A 22,720-nucleotide genomic window follows, 5' to 3' on the forward strand; every position below is an offset into this window, starting at 1 on the left:
GAATAGCCATGTAAGACTGGGAGTTTCTCCAGCAATAATCAACGCTGCCCCACCCTTACAAGCAGCCCACCCTGAATTCTCTCTCTCAGGATGTGCTGTCTATTCTGCATGTAACTTTCAAAATATTCTTTTTCTTTTGCAAGAAATTACTCTATGCCATGTGTCTCCTGTTTAAATTCTTTTAAACTAAGAAGACAAGAAATGAGGTTTCAAAACAGCTGTCAACAGTGCTTCAAGGGATTTCTATTTCTGCTGTCTTTACAATGTATCTCTGAGAAGGCAGAAGTCCACTGTCCTTGAATGCTCACTGGGTCCCTGTTGTTCCTCAACCATGCCCACGAGTTCCTGCCTCCAGACCTTAGACTTGCTGTTCTCTTTAACTAGGACATTCTATTCTCCCAGAAATCTTCCCGGATCCACACCCACCAGGTGGATTTAAGGGTCTCAGTCCTCTTTGTTTCCATAACAGCCATTGAATAATATGATCAACTCTTAAAAATACCAAGTCATAAAGGTTTGCTTATCTGTCCATTTCTCTACTAGGTTATCAACAGCTTCTTTATATCTCGGCTAGCATGATGTTGTTAGCCCTAAGTGAATGCTCAATAACTTTCCCCCTGCAATCAATGAATGGATACATTTAAATTTATCTCTCTTTACTATTAGTGGTGCTGCTACTGGCATTTTGATTTTCTATTCTGGTTCTAGCAGAATTATTAATTTATTTTAAAATCTTAATTGTATATTACAGTATCTTGGCTTTCTTAACCTGATTTTGTTAGGTTTTTGCCAGGAGGCAGGATTTCCACAACACTGGGATGTTGAAGGCTAAGATATTTTTCAGGAACATATAGGCATTGACTGCTCTTCTGGGGGATGAGGGTGTGCCCTTCCCTACACTGTTTGGTTTAAGGACTATGGAAACTCAATTATCTGTTACCATTCCGTTAAATGGAGGCTCATCTATCCACAAGAAGACTTGCATAAGACTGCCGATAGCAGCTTTATCATAGTAGTACAAAACTGGAAAGGATTCAAAAGCTCATCAACAGGAGAATGAAAAAACTAACTTGGGTATATTCATCCAATGCGATACTACTCAGTAATAAAATGAAACAAATTAGGGATATGCTTAACAAAATTGTGAATCTCACTAACATTCTGAAAGAGAGAAGGCCCTGATAGAAAAAAAAATACTAGGCTTCTGTACCAAATTATCACAAACTTAGTAGCTTAAAGTAACACGAATTTGTTATCTTACAGCTTGGTAGGGTAGAAGTTCTAATACATGTCTCATTGCACTAGAATCAAGGTGTCAGCAGGGCTGCATTCCTTGTAGAGGTTCTAAGGGAGAACTTTATTCCAGCTTCTAGAGGCCACTCACATTCCTTGGCTTGTGGCCCCTTTTATACCTCTTCAAAGACAGCAATGTATTAGGTTGGTGCAAAAGTAATGGCGGTTTATGCCATTACTTTCAAAGGCAAAAGCCGCAATTACTTTTGCACCAGCCTAGTAGCATTTCTGAGCCTGCTTCCATCCTCACATCTTTCTCTGCCTCTCTTTTCCTGCCTCCCTCTTCCACTTTTAAGGGCCCTTGTGATTATATTGGACCCACCCAGATAATCCAGGAATCTTTATTTTAAAGCCATTATCAAACTTAATTTCATCTGTAACCTTAATTCCCTCTTGCCCTGTAACATAACAGGTTCCAGGAATCAGGACAGGTACTTATTTGGGGATTGTAGGGAGCATTATTATGCCAGCCACACTGTGTGATTTCATTAAGTTTTTAGAGAAGGCAAAACTCAGCTGTGGTTTAAAAAAAAAAAAGAAGAAGAAGAAAGAGGAAAGAAGAAGAGAAAAAAGAGACCAGGAGAAGGGAGTGGGGAGGGGCAAGGGGAAGGAGAAAGAGAAGAAAAAGAAAGGTGATTGCCTTTAGGTGGGAGGAAATTGACTAGAAAGGCACATGAGGGAACTTTCTGGGTATTGGAAATTTTCTGTATCTTTAGAGGCATGTGGGTTAAATGTGCACATGGATTTATCAAAACTCATCAAATTTTACGTGTAAGATTTGTGCAATTCACTGTATGTAAATTATACCTGTAAAAAAGAGAACTGTAAACAAATCTTGATCTCTAGATTTGCTTTTCATAGTGCTATGTGTGAGCAGGTCTGAAACTAGTTTCTGAGTACGCCGAATGAAAGTAAGGTTTCCAGTGGTGTACCGCTAAACTGGCTCTCTGGGGGAAAAGAAAAAAAAAAAAGAACACACACATACACACACCTTGATTTGTAGCATTTGCTAATTGCTATGTTGTAAATAGCCCCATAGCTGATTTCAAAACCAGCTCACAAAATTACAAATCTTTAGTAATCAGCCCTATGAGCTGATTCAAACTGGCATACCACTGCAGATTTCTCATCGTTTAAGTTTTAAAATATGCATAAATAGATATAGAAATATAGATCTATGAGGAGATGAGTGCGTGTGTGTGTGCATGTGTGTATCTGTCTGCCTCCTTTCCCTCTGCAATAAGAGGACCTAAAAGCTAGGACATATTGGTAGCAGGTGCACATTTCGCTTCCAGATGTATCTTTCTACATACCATTCTCCACTTGAAAAGGAACCAGTGTTTCTTGGGGAAAAGGCTAGTTCCAGGGCTGGAGTATAATAGAAAAGTACAAAAGGAGCTTGAAATAATGGATTGCACCAGAAATTAAGGAAGTGCTTAAAGAATGATGGACATTGGCCAGGTGCAGTGGCTCAGGCCTGTAATCCCAGCACTTTGGGAGGCCGAGGAGGGTGGATCACTTGAGGTCAGGAATTCAAGACCAGTCTGGCCAACATAGAGAAACCCCAGCTCTACTGAAAATACAAAAATTAGCTGGGCAAGGTGGTGGTGTGCCTGTAATCCCAGCTACCCAGGAGGCTGAGTCAGGAGAATCACTTGAACCCGGGAGGCGGAGGTTGCGGTGAGCCAAGATTGTGCCACTGCACTCCAGCCTGGGTGAGAGAGCAAGACTCCGTCTCAAAAAAGAAAAACAAAAAGAAAGAATGATGGACATATATAAAAAGGAGATATTTGCATAGTGAACAAGTTCTACTTGGACAATTTTAGTATCAAGTATAATAAAATTACTGTTATATCAAATGTAATAGTAATGGACTAAAGCTCGTTAAATAAAGATACATGTCTCAAAACTGATACAAATAAATAAGTAAATGGGAGAACAGAAAGCTCTGCCTCACAGTAGAATATCAACTAATACATAAAGAACAAATAAAAGCATTAGAAAATCATTAGTAGACAGAAAAATTCAGGAGTGAAAGTTTGGTAAGGGACAGGATGTTGACATATATCCCCACAAATACTTGTTAATTACAAAGAGGAAAGTATTACTACTTTCTTTCTTTCTTTTTTTTTTTTTTTTTTTTTGAGATGGAGTCTTGCTCTGTCGCCCAGGCTGGAGTGCAGTGGTGCGATCTCGGCTCACTGCAACCTCCACCTCCCGGGTTGAAGCAGTTCTCCTGCCTCAGCCCTTCTGAGTACCTGGGATTACAGGCGTGCACCACCACACCCAGCTAATTTTTTTTTTTGTATTTTTAGTAGAGGCGGGGTTTCACCACGTTGGTCAGGCTGGTCTCGAACTCCTGACCTCATGATCCACCCACCCCGGCCTCCGAAAGTGCTGGGATTACAGGTGTGAGCCACCGCGCCCGGCCATTCCTTATTATTTTCAAGGGTGATTTGTAACAATCACCCTTTCCCATGTGATTAAAGTTAACATCACCAGTAAGGGTCACCCTTCAAGTTCAGGGGTGATTAATAGTAATCACCCCTACCCATGTGATTAAAGTTAACATCACCAGTAATGAGACAAATCTACATCATGGGCCTCCTGGTATGATACAGTGAGAAAGACCCAGTATCACTTCTGTGGTGTTCTTGGCAAAAACGTATAATCTGAATCTAATCCTGAGGAAACAGCAGACAGACCTAAACTGAGGGACATTCTAAAAATTCTGTAGCCTATCCTCTTAAAAAATGTCAAAGCCCCAAAAGACAAAAATGACTGAGGCACTGTCACAGATTGATGAGAGAAGACTGGGTGCAATGCACGATCTTATGTTGGATCCTGTACTTGGAAAAAAAATGAAGCTGTACATGACGTTATTGAGACAACTGAAATTTGGAAACACACACTAGATTCCATAGTAGTACTGTATGTTAAATGTTCTGCTTTTGATCATTGTTCTCTAGGTATATGAGAATATTGTTGTACTTAGAATTTATACACTGAAGTATTTAGGGATAAATAGGCATACAGTCTACAACTTGCCCTTGAATTTTTTTTTTTTTTTAAGTTTGGGAGCAGGAAGAAAGAGATAGAAAGAACGAGATGTGATAAAGCAAAAAAAAAAATGGAGCACAATGTACCCATGTTTTAATCTATGTAAAAGGTATACAGGAGTTATACTACTGTTGCAACTTGTTTGTAAATTTGAAATTATATCAAAATAAAAAGGTACAAAATAGGGTACCTGTAGTGCCAGCTACTGAGAAGTTTGAGGTTACTGTGAGCTATCATCGTGTCACTGCACCAGCCTGAGCAACAGAGCAAGACTCCATCTCTAAAAAAAAAATTAAAAAAAAAAAAAAGTGGGACAGGCACATAGCAAGCTACTTTGGCAGGGCAGAGAGGTAAAAGCCCTACAAAGGTAAAAGCCAATGCGAAGAGGTAAAAGCCCTACAAAGATATGCCCTTTCTGTTCCTGTTCTCTGTAGCCACCCCTTTTTCCCATATTCCCCGTATTCTTGGCTAAATAAATCAGGAACTGATAGGCAGTGTGTAGGTGGTGTGTTTGGGCAGCTTCAAAGGGAAAGACAGCTGTTGTGACTATATGAAAGTATTCATTTTGAAATAATTGAGACCTCTCTGTCCCAGAGAGCAACTAGGGGCCCTGTAACGGTTTGTAATCAGAATATGTAAACTTGCAAAATGTTCTTAACATGAAATAGATAAAAAACAGGTAGTGTAGGATGAGGAAAAAGGAACAGTACAAACTGTACACAATTTACTGATGTAAAAAAGAAAGTTTCCTTGCAGTCCTCTCCCATTATTAATTCTTCTATGTAGTCTCTCTTCTGATAGTTTCTATCAGATTGTACACCTGTCATAAAACAAATCATCAGAATGCATAGACATCGGCCTAATTATTCCTATGTCTCCTAAATAGTTTTGAGGAAATGCTAGTGACCTAGCCCGATATACTTTGTTTTGCTAGAACAAGATCCTGGAGAAGAACTACACGGGAATAAAAATAACTAAAATTGATTAAAATGGAACAAATACTGTTAATCAAAAAACAATGAATTATAGGAAATTGTTCTCCCCTGCTATAAATCTGAATCTTTGTGTCCCCCCACCTCAAATTCATATATTGAGACCTAACCCCCAAGGTGATAGTATTAAGAGATGAGGCCTTTGGGAGGTGATTAGGCCATGAGGGCTCTGTCCTCAAGAATGGGATTAGTGTCCTTATGTAAGAGGCCTAAGGGAGCTTGTTCACCCCTTCTGCCATGTGAAGTCTCAGCAAAAAGGCACCGTCTTTGAAGCAGAGAGTGAACCCTTGCCAGACACTAACTGCTGGCACCTTCCTAGCCTCCATCACTGTGAGCAATACATTTCTATTGTTTACAAATTACCCAGTCCAAGGTATTTTGTTACAGCAGCTTGAACAGAGTAAGACATTCCCCCTGACCAGGTGCTGTTGCTCAGGTCTGTAAACCCAGCACTTTGGGAAGCCGAGGCAAGAGGATCTGTAGAGGCCAGGAGTTCATGACCAGTCTGGGCAACATAGTGAGACCTCATCTCTACAAAAAAAAAATTTTAAAAATGAGCCAGGCATGGTCCCAGCCACCCAGGAGGCTGAGGCGGGAGGACTGCTTGAACCTAGGAGTTCAAGGCTGCAGTGAGCCGTAATCACACCATTGCACTCCAGCAGCCTGGGCAACAGAGCAAGACTCTCAAAAAGACACTGCCCACCCACCTGCCTGTGCACATTTTCACCCTTTGTTACTAAGTTGTCATTTCTGATTCATTGATATTTAGCAGAATTGAACACCAGTTTTTAATGCCATGCCATGGGTGAAATTTTGAGGAAGAAATGATGCCCTACGCTATGTTCAAAATTCAACACTTAAAAAACTAATTTAAAAATTCCAGCACATGAGGCAGAGAATGAAGCTAAGTCCAGTTTAAGATGGCTACTCTTCAGAATAGTAGTCTACTAGAAATAAAATCCTGCTTCTCCACCAGTGGAAATATTATGTTGCTAGAAATCAAAGCATTCCTTTGACGCAAATGCTTTATTTTATCCATACGATCAAAATAGGTTAAGAGCTAACCAAAATAAATGATTTGCACTATAATTACACCATAACTTTCAGCATTAATATACATGTCTCTAGAGATAAAATAGTTTTAATTGGCAAAATTAGGTAATTAAATTAAATACATAATTGTTCCTAAGGGCCAGGTAATAGCAATTTGAAAACTTACCAGCCTAAATACTCAGTTTGGATAGTCTCCTGAAGATAAAAACTGAAGCTGAAAGATGAAAACCTTTTAGAAAAACCTCAAAATTATCCCCAGAATTACACATTGCAAATATTATTGTCTGTAGTAGACCTGTGGGTGCCTCCCTGATTTCCTTGCATCCTCCCCTAAAGCTACAGCTCTGCCTTCTGGGTGGGATTGGTCCCGTCCTCCGGCCAGCTGCAGGAGTGGGACCTGATTCAGAAAATTCCACTTCCCTTGTCTCAGCTAGTTTGGGCCTATGACTCAAGTTTGTTACTTTGACATTTTAACTTTTAAATGCCAATCTTATTTTACCTCATTTCCCTCAATTTCCTGAAAAGAGTTTCAATTTTTTTTTCGAAACGAAACTCAGGAATTTATACACATATTGCCAGTTCAAATTTAAGATTACAGGAGTGGGTCGGTTACTGATTTTTTTTTTCTTGTACAAAAAATCTGAGATCTGGCAAGGAGCGGTGGCTCATGTCTGTAATGCCAGCACTTTGGGAGGCCTAGGCGAATGGATTGCTTGAGCTCAGGAGTTCAAGACCAGCCTGGGCAACATGGTGAAACCCTGTCTCTACCAAAAATACAAAAAATATTAGGAGTGGTGGCACACGCCTGTAATCCCAGCTACTTGGGAGGATTGCTTGAGTTGGGGAAGTGGAGGTTGCAGTGAGCCAAGATCGTGCCACTGCACTTCAGCCTGGGCAACAGAGTGAGACCCCATCTCAAAAAGCAAACAAAACCCAAAACAAAATCTGAGATCCAAATATTAGTATAATTACTTATTTGCTTTATCTAAGAATATCTATATAGCAGTTTTTAAATAACCATACCAATAACACTACTAAAAATTAAGATGATTCAATTCATTGTAACAGCCAATCAGCAATAAGGTCCAGGTTCAGTTTCATATGATTAGAGCTTGCCCATAATAATGACTGTAACATACATGCAAATCAACCAACAAATTTCTTATATTTATATTCTTTTTAAAATCTTAAAATGTTTAACAGTTTATCTTTTTTTCATATCATTTTCCTGTACCAGAAGCAGCTCCCTTCCCCCTGCATTGCTCTTCTTGTTCAGAGCCTGTCTTATGGCTATTGTCTTATCTTTTTATACAAACTTTATAATCCATTTTCTCACTCAAAGGGAAAAAATACCCGATGAGATTCTTATTAGCATTGTGCCAAGATCATGCCACTGCACCCCAGCCCTGGAGACAGAATGAGACCCTGTCTCAAAAATAATAATAGTAAAATTAGCTTTTTTTGCAGTTTTTTTTTACTATTTCTTTTCGATTCAAAGATTGCTTAGAAATATGTTTTTACAGTTTTAGGTAGAAGAGACTTTTATTAAAAATGTCACTATTTTAAAATTATATTTAATTGTGGTCACAGAATATAACTTATATCATTTGTATTTTTGGAATTCATTGAGATTTTCTTTGTGGCCTATGATATTTCAATTTTGTGAATACTCCATGTGACTTCAGAAGAAAGTTTAATCTCTATTATCAGGGTTCAGTGTTCAATATATATTTACTAGATCTACTTTATCAATGATTTTATTTAGCTCCTCTAAATCCATACTAATTTTTTTGTCTAACTGGGTCTATTCTTTTCTGAGAAATGGTATTAAACTTCCAATTATTAGAGTTTTTGCTTATGTCTCTTTTTATTCCTTTTACTTTCTGCTTTTTAATGGTTGTTGCTGTGTTATTAGGCACACGAATATGAATGATGGTTTCCTTGTTTAGATCGTGTCATTTAGCATCATAATGTGTCTTTTTGTCTCTTTTTGAATTTTTGCTTGTCTAATAACAAAATTGTACTCCACTTTGTTTTTACTTGCATATGCCTGGTTTATATGTAATCATCCTCTTATTTTTACTATTTTATCTTTTATTTTAGATGAGAGTTTTGCTCTTGTCACCCAGACTGGAGTATAATGGTGCGATCTGGGCTCACTGAAACTTCTGCCTCCTGGATTCAAGCAATTCTACAGCCTCAGCCTCCTGGGTAGCTGGGGATTATTGACGCACACCACCATGCCCAGCAATTTTTTTTTCTTGTATTTTTAGTAGAGATGGGGTTTCGCCATTTTGGCCAGGCTGGTCTTGAGCTCCTGACCTCAGGTGATCCGCCCACCTTGCCTTCCAAAAGTGCTGGGATTACAGGTGTGAGTCACCGTGCCCAGCCTAGGTAAGTCATTTCTATCCAGCATAGAATTGAATTTCGACTACTTATCCAATCTGAAAATTCTTTTTCTCTTATAAATGAGTTAAGCCTATTTGCATGTAGTAATACAATTGATATGCTTCATCTCAGTTTTGTCTTTATAAATCATATGAAGTCTTTCCTATGAAGTCTGTTTTATTTGCTCTCCTTTTTCTGCTTCTGTTTATTTTAGTATTTAGGAAGATTTGTATTTTGTTCTAATAACTTTATATGATACTATTCAGACTACTCTTATTTTGATATTGTCTTTTATCTTCCTACTATCAATGGTATTAAAATTAGCTAGTAACTCCTCTTTTCTGTCTCCCCTTGTCCCGAACACCTAATGTAACATACTTTTTATTTCATTTTTTAAAAGCAATATTTTTTCTTCTCAGATAGTTTCAGCCTTCTCCCCATTTTTGATTTTTATATTATATCTACAGTATCAATACCTACAAAAATTAAATACTTTTTTTTTTTTGAGATGGAGTCTCACTCTGTCACTGAGCAGTGGCACCGTGTCGGCTCACTGCAAGCTCCGTCTCCTGGGTTCCAGCAATTCTCCTGCCTCAGCCTCCCAAGTATCTGGAATTACAGGCACCCACCACCACACCTGGCTAGTTTTTATATTTTTAGTAGAGATGGGGTTTCACCATTTTGGCCAGGCTGGTCTTGAACTCCTGACCTCAGGTGATCCACCCGCCTTGCCCTCCCAAAGTGCTGGGATTACAGGCATGAGCCACCGTGCCCGGCCAATTAAACATTATTCTTTCAAACTTATTCCCATTGTTTAGCCTCAATTCTGCTGTAAAATGCTCACCACCGTAACTGGGTGACTCTGGTTCAAGGTCTTTCAAGAGGTTGCAGTTAAGCTGTTGGTAGAACTGTAGTTTCATCAAAAGGCTCAACCAGGTTTGGCATGGTGGCTCACACCTGTAGTCCCAGCACTTTGGGAGGCAGAGGCAGGAGGATCGCTTGAGCCCAGGAGTTTGAGACCAGCCTGGGCAGCAATGTGAGACTCCACTTCTACAAAAAATTAAAAAATTAGCCAGGCATAGTTGGCATGTGCCTATAGTCCCAACTACTGGGGAGGCTGAGCTGGGAGGATCACTTGAGCCTGGGAGGCGGGAGGTTGCAGTGAGCCGAAATCATGCCACTGCACTCCGCCTGGATGACAGAGTGAGACTCTGTCTCAAGAGAAAAAAAAAAAAGAAAAAGAAAAATGGCTTCGCCAGGTAAGGACCTGCCTCCAAGCTCTCTTACGCAAGAAACTCATACAAGGAACTGACAGGATTCAGTTCCTTGTGGGCATTGAACTGAAAGTCTCAGTTCCGCCTTGGGTATTGACTGGAGGCCAATCTCAGTTCCTTGCCATGTGGAACTCATACAGGGTAACTCACAACACGTCAGTTGGCTTCTCTCAGAGTGACAGAAAGCAGAAAAACAGAAGTCACAGTCTCTTTGTAGTCTAATTTCAGATGTAACACCCCATTACTTTTACTGTATTTTATTCATTAGGAGCAATTCACTATATTTAGTCCATACTCAAGAGGAGGAGATTACATAAGGACATAAATACCAGGAGATGGGATCCCTGGAGGCTATGCTGGAGACTGTCTGCCATATGACAAATACCTAGGAATGGAATTTCTGTGTCATAGGGTACACGTACATTTATAAGAAACTGCTAACCTATTTTCCCACATGATTATACTATTTCATTTTCCCTCCCACAATGTATGAGAGTTCCCAGTTGTTTCAAGGATTCCATATATATATATATATATATATATATATATATATATATATGTATATATAATACTTTAAGTTCTAGGGTACATGTGCACAACGTGCAGGTTTGTTACATATGTATACATGTGCCATGTTGGTGTGCTGCACCCATGAACTCATCATTTACATTAGGTATATCCCCTAATGCTATCCCTCCCCCCTCCCCCCACCCCACAACAGGCCCCGGTGTGTGATGTTCCCCTTCCTGTGTCCAAGTGTTTTCATTGTGGAAGACAGTGTGGTGATTCCTCAGGAATCTAGAACTAGAAATACCATTTGACCCAGCCATCCCATTACTGGGTATATACCCAAAGGATTATAAATCATGCTGCTATAAAGACACGTGCACACGTATGTTTATTCAAGGTTTCTTAACCTTTGCACTATTGACATTTTGACCCAGATAATTCTTTGTTCTGGAAGCTGTCCTTTGCTTTGTAGAATGTATAGCTCCCTGACCTCTATGCATTAGATGCCAGTAGCTCCCTGCTGATTGTGATGCTCAACAATGTCTCCAGGAATTATCAAATGTCCTTTGGGGCAAAATGACTCACAGCTGAAAACCACTGAATTGCCCCACATCCTAACCAACAAGGTATTTCTAATCTTTTTAGTTTTAGCCATTCTAATAGAAATAGTAGTGTTTTTTCACTGTAGCTTTAATTTGCATTTTTATAATGACCAATGATGTTACACCTCTTTCTATTTGTTTTACATTTGTATCCCTTCTTTGATGAAGTATCTATTGAGCTTTTTTGCCCACTTTTATTGGATCATTTGCCTTCTTAATATTGAATTGTAATAGTGTTTATATTTTTCAGATACAAGTACAGTCATGCATCATTTAACAATGTGGATACATTCTGAGAACTGTGCCATTAGTTGGTTTTATCATGTGAACATCGTAGAGCATACTTGCATAAACCTAGATGCTATAGCCTACTACACACCTAGGCTATACCGTGTAGCCTATTGCTCCTAGGCTACAAACCTAGGAGCATGTGCAGCATGTTACTGTACTGAATACTGCAGGCAACTGTAACACAATGGTATTTGTGTATCTAAACATATCTAAACATACAGAAGGTACAGTAAAAAATGGTGTTATAATCATATGAAAACACCTTTGAATATATGGTCCACTGTTGACTGAAATGTTACTGTGCAGTGCATGCCTGTATTTCATTAGATGTAGGTTTGGGAAATATATTCTCCCTGTCTTGGCTTACCTTTTCATTTAGAGTAGCATCTTTCAAGAGCAAAAGATTTTAATTTTTTTGGAGAAAATTTATTCATTTTTCTTGTATGATTATAACTTTTACGTCTTGTCTTATTCCATTCAGGCTGCTGTAACAAATTACATAAACTGGATGGACTATAACAAATAGAAATTTCATCTTTTTTTGACCTCGGAACTTTTTATTTTCCTCCTGCTCCCCAAAGGGTACCCTGCTTCTGCTGGATTAATGCCTCAGAACTTTGGTGTCCTTTGTCTCAGACAGCACTTTGCCACCCACTATCCGGCAGTGGTGGTCTTTTGGATGGTTTGCATGGAGTTGCTGCTGTCCAGGGCATCACCAAGATTGAACTCCTCGCCATCTTCCAGCAGGCGGCGGTAGGTGGCGATCTCAGCCTCCAACTTGACCTTGATGTTCAGCAGGGCCTCGTACTCCTGGGCCTGGCACTGTCCCTCTGCCAGGGTCTGTGCCAGCTCTGACTCCAGGTGCAACAGGATCCCATTGAGCTGCTCCATCTGCAGGGTGTGGCGGGCCTCCACCTCCCTCAGGCGGTCCTCCAAGCTGGCCTTCAGACTTCTCATGGAGTCCAGGTCAACCTCCAAGGACTGGACTGTACATCTCAGCTCTGTGAGCGTCATCTCAGCAGCTCCAACCTCGGCGGACTGCGTGGTGACCACTTTGGCGATTTCCTCATTCTTCTGAGACCAGTATTTGTCCAGCTCCTCTTGGTTCTTCCGAGCCAGCTCGTCATATTGGGCCCAGATGTCTGCCATGATCTTGGCGAGGCACTGAGATTTAAGGGCATCTACCTCCATGGTCAACCCAGAGCTGGCAATCTGGGCTTGTAGGCCTTTTACTTCCTCTTTGTGGTTCTTCTTTATGAAGAGCAGCTCCTCCTTGAGAGCCTCAATCTCTGTCTCCAGCTGCAGCCGAGTGACATTGGTGTCAACAATGACCTTGCGGAGCCCATGGATGTCATGGGCCATGGCCAGCTCTGTCTCATACTTGACCCTAAAGTCATCAGCAGCAAGACAGACATTGTCGATCTGCAGAACGATGCAGGCATTGTCCACAGTGTTTGCAAAGATCTGAGCCCTCAGGTCATCGATGATCTTGAAGTAATGGCTCCAGTCTCTGACATGGGGTCCCTTCTTCTCCACGTGCTCCCGGATTTTGCTCTCCAGCTTCTGGTTCTTGGTCACCAGGCTCCTCACTCTGTCCAGGTAGGAGGCCAGGCAGTCGTTCAGGCTTTGCATGGTCTCCTTCTCGTTCTGGATGCCTCCTATTCCTGCCAGACCCCCAGCCATCCCCGCGGCCAGGCCCCCGGACCCCATGCAACCCGGAAGCTGGTGAAGCAGCACACAGAGATCCGGGAATGAGAGCCCCTGCTGCCTGCATAGACGCTGGCCACACTGCTGACTGGCCAGGCGCCATAGCTGGGCGTCTGGACAGAGCCCAGGGACCGGTAGTTGGTGGAGAAGGTGGAGCGAGTGGTGAAGCTCATGGTGTCTGGGGAGGCAGGCGAAAGGACAGGACTCAGACTTTGCCGATGACCAAAAAATAGAAATTTGTTTCTTAACGTTTCCGGAAGCTGGGAAGTTCAAGATCAAGATACTGGCAGATTTGGTGTCTGGTGAGGAAGAGCTTGCTCTCAGGTTCATAGATGGCCCCTTCTTGCTATATCCTCACTTGGTGGAAGGGGCAAGATTGCTCTCTGGGGCTTCTTTTATAAGGACAATAATCTCATCCATGAGAGCTCTGTCCTCATGACCTAATCACCTCTAAAGGCCCCATCTCTTAGTACCATCACCTTGGATTTCAACCTATGAATTTTGAAAGGATAATAGCATGTTTTATCTAAGAAAGCTCTGCCTAAATGAAGGTTACAAGTATTTTCTCTTTTTTTCTAGAAGTTTTATACTTTTAGGTCAAGTTTGCCTTTCTGATTCATTTAGATTTAAATTACATTTGTGGTGTGAGGTAAGAATCAAGATTCATTATTTTGCATATGGATCCAATTATTCCAAGACCATTTATTAAAAAGAGTACCTTTTCCCAATTATATTACCTTGATACCTATGTCGAAAATCAATTAACTATATATGTGTGGACCTATTTCTTGGATTTCTATGCTGTTCCACTAATCTAATAGTCTGTCTTTACACCAATACCACTCTGTTTTGACTCGTTATCTTTATAATATGTTCTCAAACCAGACAGTGTTATGTCCTAAAACTTTATTCTTCTCTTTCAGAAATGTTTTCCCTTTTCATTTTCATATAAATGAAAGTTCTTTTCGTTTTCATATAAATTTTAAATCCAGTTTCTCAATTTTTACAAAACAGCTTGCTGAGATTTTGACTAGACTGCATTGGGCCTATGAATTCATTTGAGGAGAATTGACATCATAACAGTAATGAGTTTTCTGACCTATTAACATGGTATACTTCTCTATTTAGCTGTTCTTTAATTTCTTTAACGAAGCTCTTATAGTTTTCACTGTAATCACCTTTCACATATTTTCATAATTCTATCCCTATATATTTTGTGTTTATATTGTGAATAAAGTTATTTTAATTTCCCATTGCTTGTTGTTAGCATATAGAAAAATGGTTGATTTTGCATATTGACTTCATATCATGCTACCTTCCCATATTTATCTATTAATTCTAATATTTTTTGTAGCTGGATCTTTGGAAAAAATCAATAAAACTGATAAAACTTAGGATTTTCTATATAGATGATCATCTCATTTGTGAATAAAAACAGTTATAATCCCTTCTTTCCAATCTTTATGCCTTTTATTCTTTTTCTTGCCTTATTGCAGCAGTAAAGACCTCTAGTTAATTGCTAATTAGAAGTGGTGAGAGTGAACCTCTTTGCCTTGTTCTCAAAATCAGAGGAAAAATATTTATGATGTTAACTGTTGATTTCTCATAGATGTCCTTTACTGGGTTATGGAAATTCTCCTCTACTACTAGTTTGCCAAGAGCTTTTTATCATGAATAGGTATTGAATTTTGTCAAAAGATTTTTTTGCTTCTACTGAGATGGTGAAATAGTTTTTTTCGCCTCAGTCTGCTATTAGGATAAATCATACTGATAGATTTTCTAAAGTTAAAACAACCTTCCATTTCTTGGATAATTATACTTGGTAACAAAATATTATCTTTTTTATACATAAAGAAATTTACTTACTACAATTTTGTTAAGAATTTTTGCATCTATGATAAGGAATATTGGTCTATAGTTTTCCCGTAATGTCTTTGTCTGATTTTAATATCAAGCTCACCTCATAAAATGAGCTGAGAAGTGTAATCATTTCTTTTATTCTCTGGATGAGTTTATGTAGAACCTCTATTATTTCTTTCCTAAAAGTTTCCTTTGACATATCAGTGTTGTGGCTGATGTTTTCTTTATGAGAAGATTTTCAAATATGAACTTTTTAATAGAAGATATGAGGCTATTCAGGTTACCTATATTTCTTGAATGAGTTGTGGCAGTTTGTGTCTTGCATAGAATTTATACATGTCATCTAAATTAAAAATCTTATTGCTAAAATTTTTCAGAATATTCTCTTATCCTTTTGATGTGTGCTAAATTTGTAATAATATTCCTCTTTCATTTTTTTTTTTACTGATAATTTGTGTCCTCTCTTTTTTTTTTCCTGATTAGTCTGGATACAAGTTTATCAATTTACAGATTTTTTTCCAAATAGTCAGCTTTTTTTATATATATTTTTCTATTGTGTTTATTTCTTATTTTACTCTGCTCTTTATTATTCTCTTCCTTCTACTTGCTTTGAATTTAATTTGCTCCTTTCTAGCGAATGCTGAAGCTTAGATAAATTTTTGAGACTTTCTTTTTAAATATAAGCATTTAATGTTATAAATTTTCCTCGTTGCACTGCTTTTGCTTTATCACACAAACTTTGATATTTTGTGTTTTCATTTTAATTTTGCTCAAAATATTTTATAACTTCCCTTGTATTTTTTATTTGACTCATGAGTATTTTAGAACTGAATTGTTTAATTTCCAAATATTTGGAGGTTGTCAAAATATCTTTTTGTTATTGATTTCTAGCTTAGTTTAGTTGAGATCAGTTGACTCTGTATTATTTCAGTTATTTTCATGTTTTTTGACTTGTTTTATGGCCTTGCATATGATCTATGTCATTGATTGCTGTGAACAGTTCAAACAATGTATATTCTGCTGTTGCAGGGTCTGTATGTCAATTAGGTTAAGTTGGTTGATAGTAAGTCTTCTTTATACTTATTGGTTTTATGTCTACTTGTTCTATACCAATTTCTGAGAGGAGAGTGTTGAAATCTCCAAAAGTAATATAATATTTGTCTGTTTCTCCTTTTAGTTCTATTAGTTTTTGCTTCTTATTTTATAAAGCTCTGTTATTAGGTGCAAACACAATTATTGTTATATCATCATGACAAATGTATCTCTTTATGATTATGAAAAGTCCCTTTTTATCCTTGGTAATATTGTTTTGAAATCTATTTTATCTGATAGCAACATAGCTACTTCAGCTTTATTTTTGTTTAGTATTTGCATAGTTTATCTTTTTTAATCACTTCACTTTTAACCTAACCGTATCTTTCCAGTTAAAGCAAATTTCTTGCAGAGAGCCTACAGTTGGATTTTGTTTTATCTAGTCTGTCAATTTTTTTGCCTTTACGTCTTAGAACAATTGCTATGGTCTGAATATTTGTGTCCTCTCAAAGTTCATATGTTAAAATCCTAACCACCAAGATGATGATGTAAGAGGTGGGACCTTTAGGAGGTGATTAGGTCATGAAGGTAGAACCCTTATGAATGAGATGATGCCCTTATAAAGCTGCCTTGTCCCTTCTACCATGTGAGAATGCAGCAAGAAGGGGCCCTCTATGAATCAGAGTGTGAGCCCTCACCAGAAACCAAATCTCCTAGTACTTTGGTCTTGCACTTTCCAGCCTCTAGAACTGTGAGAAATACATTTCTTTTATTTATAAGCTACCCAGTTTATGGCATTTTGTTATAGCAGCCCAAATGGAGGAAGACACCAATTTACATCTAATGTCATTACTGAAATGAGTATCGCTTACCTGTACTATGACATTGTTTTCTATTTGTCCCAAATGTTCTTTGTTCCTCTTTATTTTTTATGTTGCTTTCTTTTGGATTAATTGAATGTATTTTATGGCACCATTTTTTTTTTGGAAACGGAGTCTCACTCTGCTGCCCAGGCTGGAGTACAGTGGCATGATCTCGGCTCACTGCAACCTCCACCTCCCAGGTTCAAGCAATTCTCCTGCCTCAGCCTCCCAAGTAGCTGGGACTACAGGTGCATGCCACCAGGCCCAGCTAATTTTTTATGTTTTTAGTAGAAACAGGGTTTCACCATGTTGCCCAGGCTGGTCTCGAATTCCTGAGCTCAGATAATCCGCCCACCTCGGCCTCCCAAAGTGCTAGTATACAGGCGTGAGCCACTGCGCCCGGCCTATGGCTCCATTTTATCTTCACTATTGGCTGATTAGATATCGGTCTTTTTAATTTTTTTTGTAGTTGCTCTAGTATTTACAATATAAAATTTTAACTTATCACCATCTATTTTCAAACCCTACTAAAAACACTTCACATAAAATATAAGATCCTTACAACATTTATTTCCATTTACCACCTCCATTTTCTGTGCTATTCTTGCCATACTTTTTGCTTCTATATTTGTTATAAACCCCACGATACATATTTTTTTGCTTTAAACACTCAATTATCTTTTAAAGAGATTAGAAGTAGAGAAACTATGTTTTATATTTACCTTCATATTTTACAAAACTGCTCTTTTGGTTAACAACATAATTTTCTGGAAGGGAGACTAAATTCTGCCAGTGCATTTTCTACACTATCTTGGAAAGATCTGAATGTCTTCATTTCTAAGCTATTCTTACAAACTAGCAGTGTTGACATAGTTTGGATGTGTGTCCCTGCCCAAATCTTATGTTGAAATGTAATCCCCAGTATTAGAGGTGGGGCCTGGTAAGAGGTGATTGGGTTATGGGGGTGGATTTCTCATGAATGGTTTCGTACCGTCCTCACGATACTGAGTGTGGCAACTTGCTCACTCTCTCTCTCTCTTTTTTTTTTTTTTTTTTAAGATGAAGTCTCACTGTGTTGCCCAGCCTGGAGTGCAGTGGCATGATCTCGGCTCACTGCAACCTCTTCATCCCTGACTCAAGTGATCCTCCTGCTTCAGCCTCCCAAGTAGCTGGGATTACAGGCACCTGCCACCATGCCTGGCTAATTTTTGTGTTTTTCATAGAGACGGGGTTTCACCATGTTGGCCAGGCTGGTCTCGAACTCCTGAACTCAGGTGATCCACCCACCTTGGCCTCCCAAAGTGCTGGGATTACAGGTGTGAGCCACCACGCCTGGCCACCTTGCTCAGTCTTCCTTGCTCCTGCTCTGGCCATGTGATGTGCCTGCTCCCCCTTTGCCTTCTACCATGACTGTTGGTTTCCTGAAGCCCCCACCAAGAAGCTTAGCAGATGCTAGCATCATGTTTCCTGTACAATCTGCAGAATGGTGAGCCAATTAAACCACTTTTATTTATACATTTCCCAGTCTTGGCTATTTCCTTATAGCAATGCAAGAACAGGCTAATACAAATGCCCCACTCATTTTGTATGGCGCTGCACCTGTGGGGTACTTCAGATCTCAACCAACCATTCACAAAAGTGATTTGAGGAAATTTCCAGTGTCTAGAATCCAGGTTTGTTGAGGTGGTCAATCAATCAAACAGTTAATTAACAATTATACATTTGTTCATCTTCTTTTTGTTCTTTCATTCATCAAACACAGATTAATCATTAACTGTGTACCTATTACAAGCTCAGTGCTGGGAATGCAAAGGATCTCTAGATTTAATAGGTTTTAACTGGAAGTAGGAAGATAGTGAAATAACTTTTAAAATGCATTAATCAGTTTTTTTTTTTTTTTTTTTTTTTCTGAGATGGAGTCTCGCTCTGTTGCCCAGGCTGGACTGCAGTGGCGTGATCTCGGCTCACTGCAAGCTCCACCTCCTGGGTTCATGCCATTCTCCTACCTCAGCCTCCCGAGTAGCTGGGACTACAGACGCCCACCACCGCGCCCGGCTAATTTTTTGTATTTTTAGTAGAGACGGGGTTTCACCCTGTTAGCCAGTATGGTCTTGATCTCCTGACCTCGTGATCCGCCCGCCTCAGCCTCCCAAAGTGCTGGGATTCCAGGAATGAGCCACCGCACCAGGCCCATTAATCAGTGTTTTCTTCCTCAGTGCCTACTGTTATTTCTGTCATAATTCTTTGTGGCCTAGCTTTTGTAACTTCGTATAATATAGTGTTAATTTATTATGATGAACATAATAATGCTGCTACCAGTGAGATGGTATTATACCTCGACCTTGACCCCCTTCATGGGCAGGAACTGGAATGGCTCATTTCACTTAGCCTGCTGCTTGTCACTCCTCACAAGAGGGAGCGTGCAAGTGAGTGCAGGACCCAGAGCGAAAATACGAATGCTGGAACTCACCGGTCACTCCTCTCTGGTGAGAGCAGGCTGTGTGTGGGCTCTGGAGCAATGTCCCAGCCCCTGCCCTCATGGGTTCTTGTCTGCTGTCCAGAAAGAATCAGGTCACATGAACGGACTGAAGGGTAGTATATGTGGAGGATTTTATTGGGCAATGGATGTGGCTCTCAGTGGAATGGGGAATAGGAAAGGGGATGGTGGGGGAAGAAGGTGATCTTTCCCTGAAGTCGCACCATCTGAAGTTGGCCGCAGCTATCTGTAGTCTCTTCTTGTATCCCCAACACTTAGCCATTCATATTGCTCTGTCAGCTGGTCCTTTTATGGGCGCAGGATATGGGAATGGCAGGCTAAAAAGGCAACATTTGGGCGAAAAATGGGGTCAGCTATTGTCACTTAGGGCCACAGTTCCATGCTTTAGAGTGGGGTTTAGCTGGGAGCCCAATAATTCTGTATCACCAGTGCCATTACATACATTTTACTCCTTTTCCTCTTTTATTCCTTATAACATCCCCATGAAGTATTATTATCCTGATTCTGCAGAGAAGGACAGACGCTCAGGGAGTGATCTGCCCAAAGTCACAGCTACTAAATGAATAATATGACACTGGATTTAATCCACTCCAGGCTGATTCTGGAGCCTCTGCACTGTCAGAAATAAGCAGAAAAGATTGGTCCAAGGTTTCTGCTGCTTCTGCTTTGAATCCTATATAAGAGGGGTCTGGGCATACTGCAGGTGGTCAATAAAGACTGTTAAAAGAACAAACAGGAAAGGAAGCAATAGAGTGAAAAGGCAACCTACAGAATGGGAGAAAATATTTGTAAATCATATATCCGATAAAGGGTTAATATCCAGAATATATAAATAACTCCTACAACTCAACAACAAAAACACAAATAACCAGATTAAAAAATGGGTAAAGGAGTTGAATAGTCATTTCTCCAAAGAAGATATATAAATGGCCAACAAGCCCATGAAAAGGTGTTCAGCATCACTAAATCATTAGAGAAATGCAAACCAAAACTTCAAGATATCACTTCACACTCACTGGGATGCTCACTGTCAAAAAGAAAGAAGCAACCAAACAGAAAAAGGAAATATTGACAAGGATGTGGAGAAATTGGAACTCTTGTGCACTGTGGGAATGTAAAATGGTGCAGCCACTATGAAAAACTATACGGAGGCTTCACAAAAACCTAAAAAGTAGAATTACCCTATTATCCAGTAATCCCATGTCTGGGTATGTATCCCAAAGCATTGAAAAGCAGGGTCTCTAAGAGATATTTGTACCACCATGTTCATTGCAGCAGCGTTCACAATGACCACGAGGTGGAAGCAACCAGCACGCCTGTTGAGAGATCAATGGTAAGAAAATGTGGTATATACATACAATGGCATATTATTCAGGCTTAAAAAAGAAGAGAATCCTGTTATGTGCTACAACATGTCTAAACCTTGAGGGTATTATTTTAAGTGAAATTAGTAACAAAAAGGCAAGTACTGTATGATTCCACCTACATAATGTATCTGAAGTAGTCAAGCTCATAGTAACAGAAAGTAGAACGATGGTAGCTGGGCATGATGGCTCACGCCTGTAATCCCAGCACTTTGGGAGGCCAAGGTGGGTGGATCTCCCGAGGTCAGGAAATCAAGATCAGCCCGGCCAACATGGTGAAAACCCGTCTCTATACAAAAATACAAAAATTAGCCGGGCGTGGTAGTGTGCACCTGTAATCTTAGCTACTTGGGAGGCTGAGGCACCAGCCTGGGCGACAGAGCAAGGCTGTTTCAAAAAGAAAGAAACAAAGAAGAAAGTAGAATGGTGGTTACCAAGGGACTGGAGTAGGGGTAAATGGGTATAAGGTTTCAGTTTTGCAAGATGAAAATGATCTAGAGGTCTGCCACCACTGAATTGTACAACTAAAAATGGTTAAGATGGTAGATTTTGTTACGTGTTTTTTCACCAATTAAAAAAAAATTTAATAAAAAAGGATAAAGAGGAGGGAAGCCTAATGTTATGCTCTTTATGCCCGAATTTGGCGAAATCGAGCCTTGCCCGCTGTTTTTTCCTATGACAGTGTCTGAACCTTTCTTTTTCCCAGGAGTAGGAATGGCCCCTGCTCCCGCGCAGCCTCCAGGCTGCACCACGCTCGCCCCGCCTCTCTCTCCGCTCCTTACTCCGCCCACCGCAGTTTCCTCCAATCGCGGCCCTCTCCCCGCCCCCTTACCCGAGCCTTTTTCCTGCATCCGGGCCTGAGAGTGCAGGCTTGAGGGAAGCATGGAGGTCCATGGCAAGCCCAAGGCTAGCCCGAGTTGTTCGTCGCCCACCCGGGATTCCTCAGGAGTCCCAGTGTCCAAGGAGCTGCTGACGGCGGGAAGCGACGGCCGCGGAGGTGACGGACGGGTGACGGCGGCATGGGCCGCACACGTGCGGCAGAGGAGGCGCGGCCGGTGCAGTTTGGGAGCCGGCCGGTGGCTCCCTGCCCGGGCTCCGTACCCTCGAGGGGAGCCCCGGGGACTGCTGCGGGGCTCCGGCGTGCCCTGCCCGCGGCAGGGGTGGGGGCTTTGGGGCGGGCACCCGGCTGCGGGCCCGGAATGGTTTCCCCAGCTAGTGGTTCTTATATTCTGCAAGGTAGTGAGCGCCCACCCTGCCAGGCGCCGCTGCCAGGCATCTGCCCTGCCCTGGAAGCTGGGAAGCTCTCGAGTTCTTTTGGGGAAGGGAGGGCTTTTGGTTTGGCTGCCTGGGTCGGAGCAGTTGGCTGATAGGGGGAAGCGGAGTAATATTATGCTAACAGTCCCTACCTCTTTCACACCCACACAGACCACCCCTTAGTGCTGCTGTCTTGTAGAGGGAGACATGCATCCAGGAAATCCACACAGCATTTCAGACACTATAGGTAGAATTTAAAAGCACGAGTTCGAATCCCAGCTCCACTAGTAATTAACTGGTGGGACTTAGAGTTATTTTCATTCCCTAAGCCTCAGTTTTTGCATTTGGAAAATGGTGATAGTAGTAATGCCTGTAGAATTTTTGTGAGGAGGAGAATGCCTAAAAAGGCTTGGGCATGTTGTCAGTAAATACTAGCTTGAAGAAAAGGTTTTGTGAGAACCCAGAGATTCCGAAGGAAGTATAATAATGATAACCAAAGCTTATGTAGTCCTTACTATGTATGCCCCAGAAACTAACTCATCTAATCCTCACAACAACCCTTTGCAGAAAATCTGTTATCTCTGTTTTATAGTTGAGGAACCTGAGACATGATTTATCATACAGGTAATTTACCTTCTGGAGATCATGTGGCTAGAAAGTAGCAAAACTGGGACTTGAAT

At 40.5% G+C, this 22,720-nt stretch overlaps 1 protein-coding gene, 1 long non-coding RNA gene and 1 pseudogene across 2 annotated transcripts in view, besides 3 other annotated features; 1 reads left to right on the forward strand and 2 right to left on the reverse strand.

Moving 5' to 3' along the window:
• On the reverse strand, positions 12,006-13,393 carry KRT18P20 (keratin 18 pseudogene 20; annotated as a pseudogene).
• On the reverse strand, positions 19,512-21,686 carry LOC105369952 (uncharacterized). The gene is made up of 2 exons (XR_007063436.1): positions 21,619-21,686; positions 19,512-19,739 (listed from the first exon to the last, which is right to left on the reverse strand). It is a non-coding gene; the product is annotated as an uncharacterized LOC105369952 (long non-coding RNA).
• Positions 21,286-21,798: an enhancer, noted in NCBI's record as "H3K27ac hESC enhancer chr12:105379748-105380260 (GRCh37/hg19 assembly coordinates)". NCBI's record gives its function as "activates a minimal SCP1, AML or CMV promoter by ChIP-STARR-seq in naive and primed H9 embryonic stem cells {active_cell/tissue: H9 hESC(naive and primed)}" and the evidence as "EXISTENCE:reporter gene assay evidence [ECO:0000049][PMID:30033119]".
• Positions 21,632-22,720, forward strand: part of NOPCHAP1 (NOP protein chaperone 1) — a 31,310-nt gene continuing 30,221 nt past the window's right edge. Inside the window, exon 1 of the mRNA NM_152318.3 lies at positions 21,632-21,783. Coding sequence (NP_689531.2) covers positions 21,669-21,783 — 115 coding nt within the window. The 5' untranslated portion in view covers positions 21,632-21,668. The remainder of the gene's footprint in view (positions 21,784-22,720) is intronic.
• Positions 21,799-22,309: an enhancer, noted in NCBI's record as "H3K27ac hESC enhancer chr12:105380261-105380771 (GRCh37/hg19 assembly coordinates)". NCBI's record gives its function as "activates a minimal SCP1, AML or CMV promoter by ChIP-STARR-seq in naive H9 embryonic stem cells {active_cell/tissue: H9 hESC(naive)}" and the evidence as "EXISTENCE:reporter gene assay evidence [ECO:0000049][PMID:30033119]".
• Positions 21,862-22,111: a silencer, noted in NCBI's record as "silent region_4801". NCBI's record gives its function as "represses an Ori minimal core promoter by ATAC-STARR-seq in GM12878 lymphoblastoid cells {active_cell/tissue: GM12878}" and the evidence as "EXISTENCE:reporter gene assay evidence [ECO:0000049][PMID:35858748]".

Source organism: Homo sapiens, chromosome 12 (assembly GCF_000001405.40).
Source record: "Homo sapiens chromosome 12, GRCh38.p14 Primary Assembly".
NCBI classification, from domain to species: domain Eukaryota; kingdom Metazoa; phylum Chordata; class Mammalia; order Primates; family Hominidae; genus Homo; species Homo sapiens.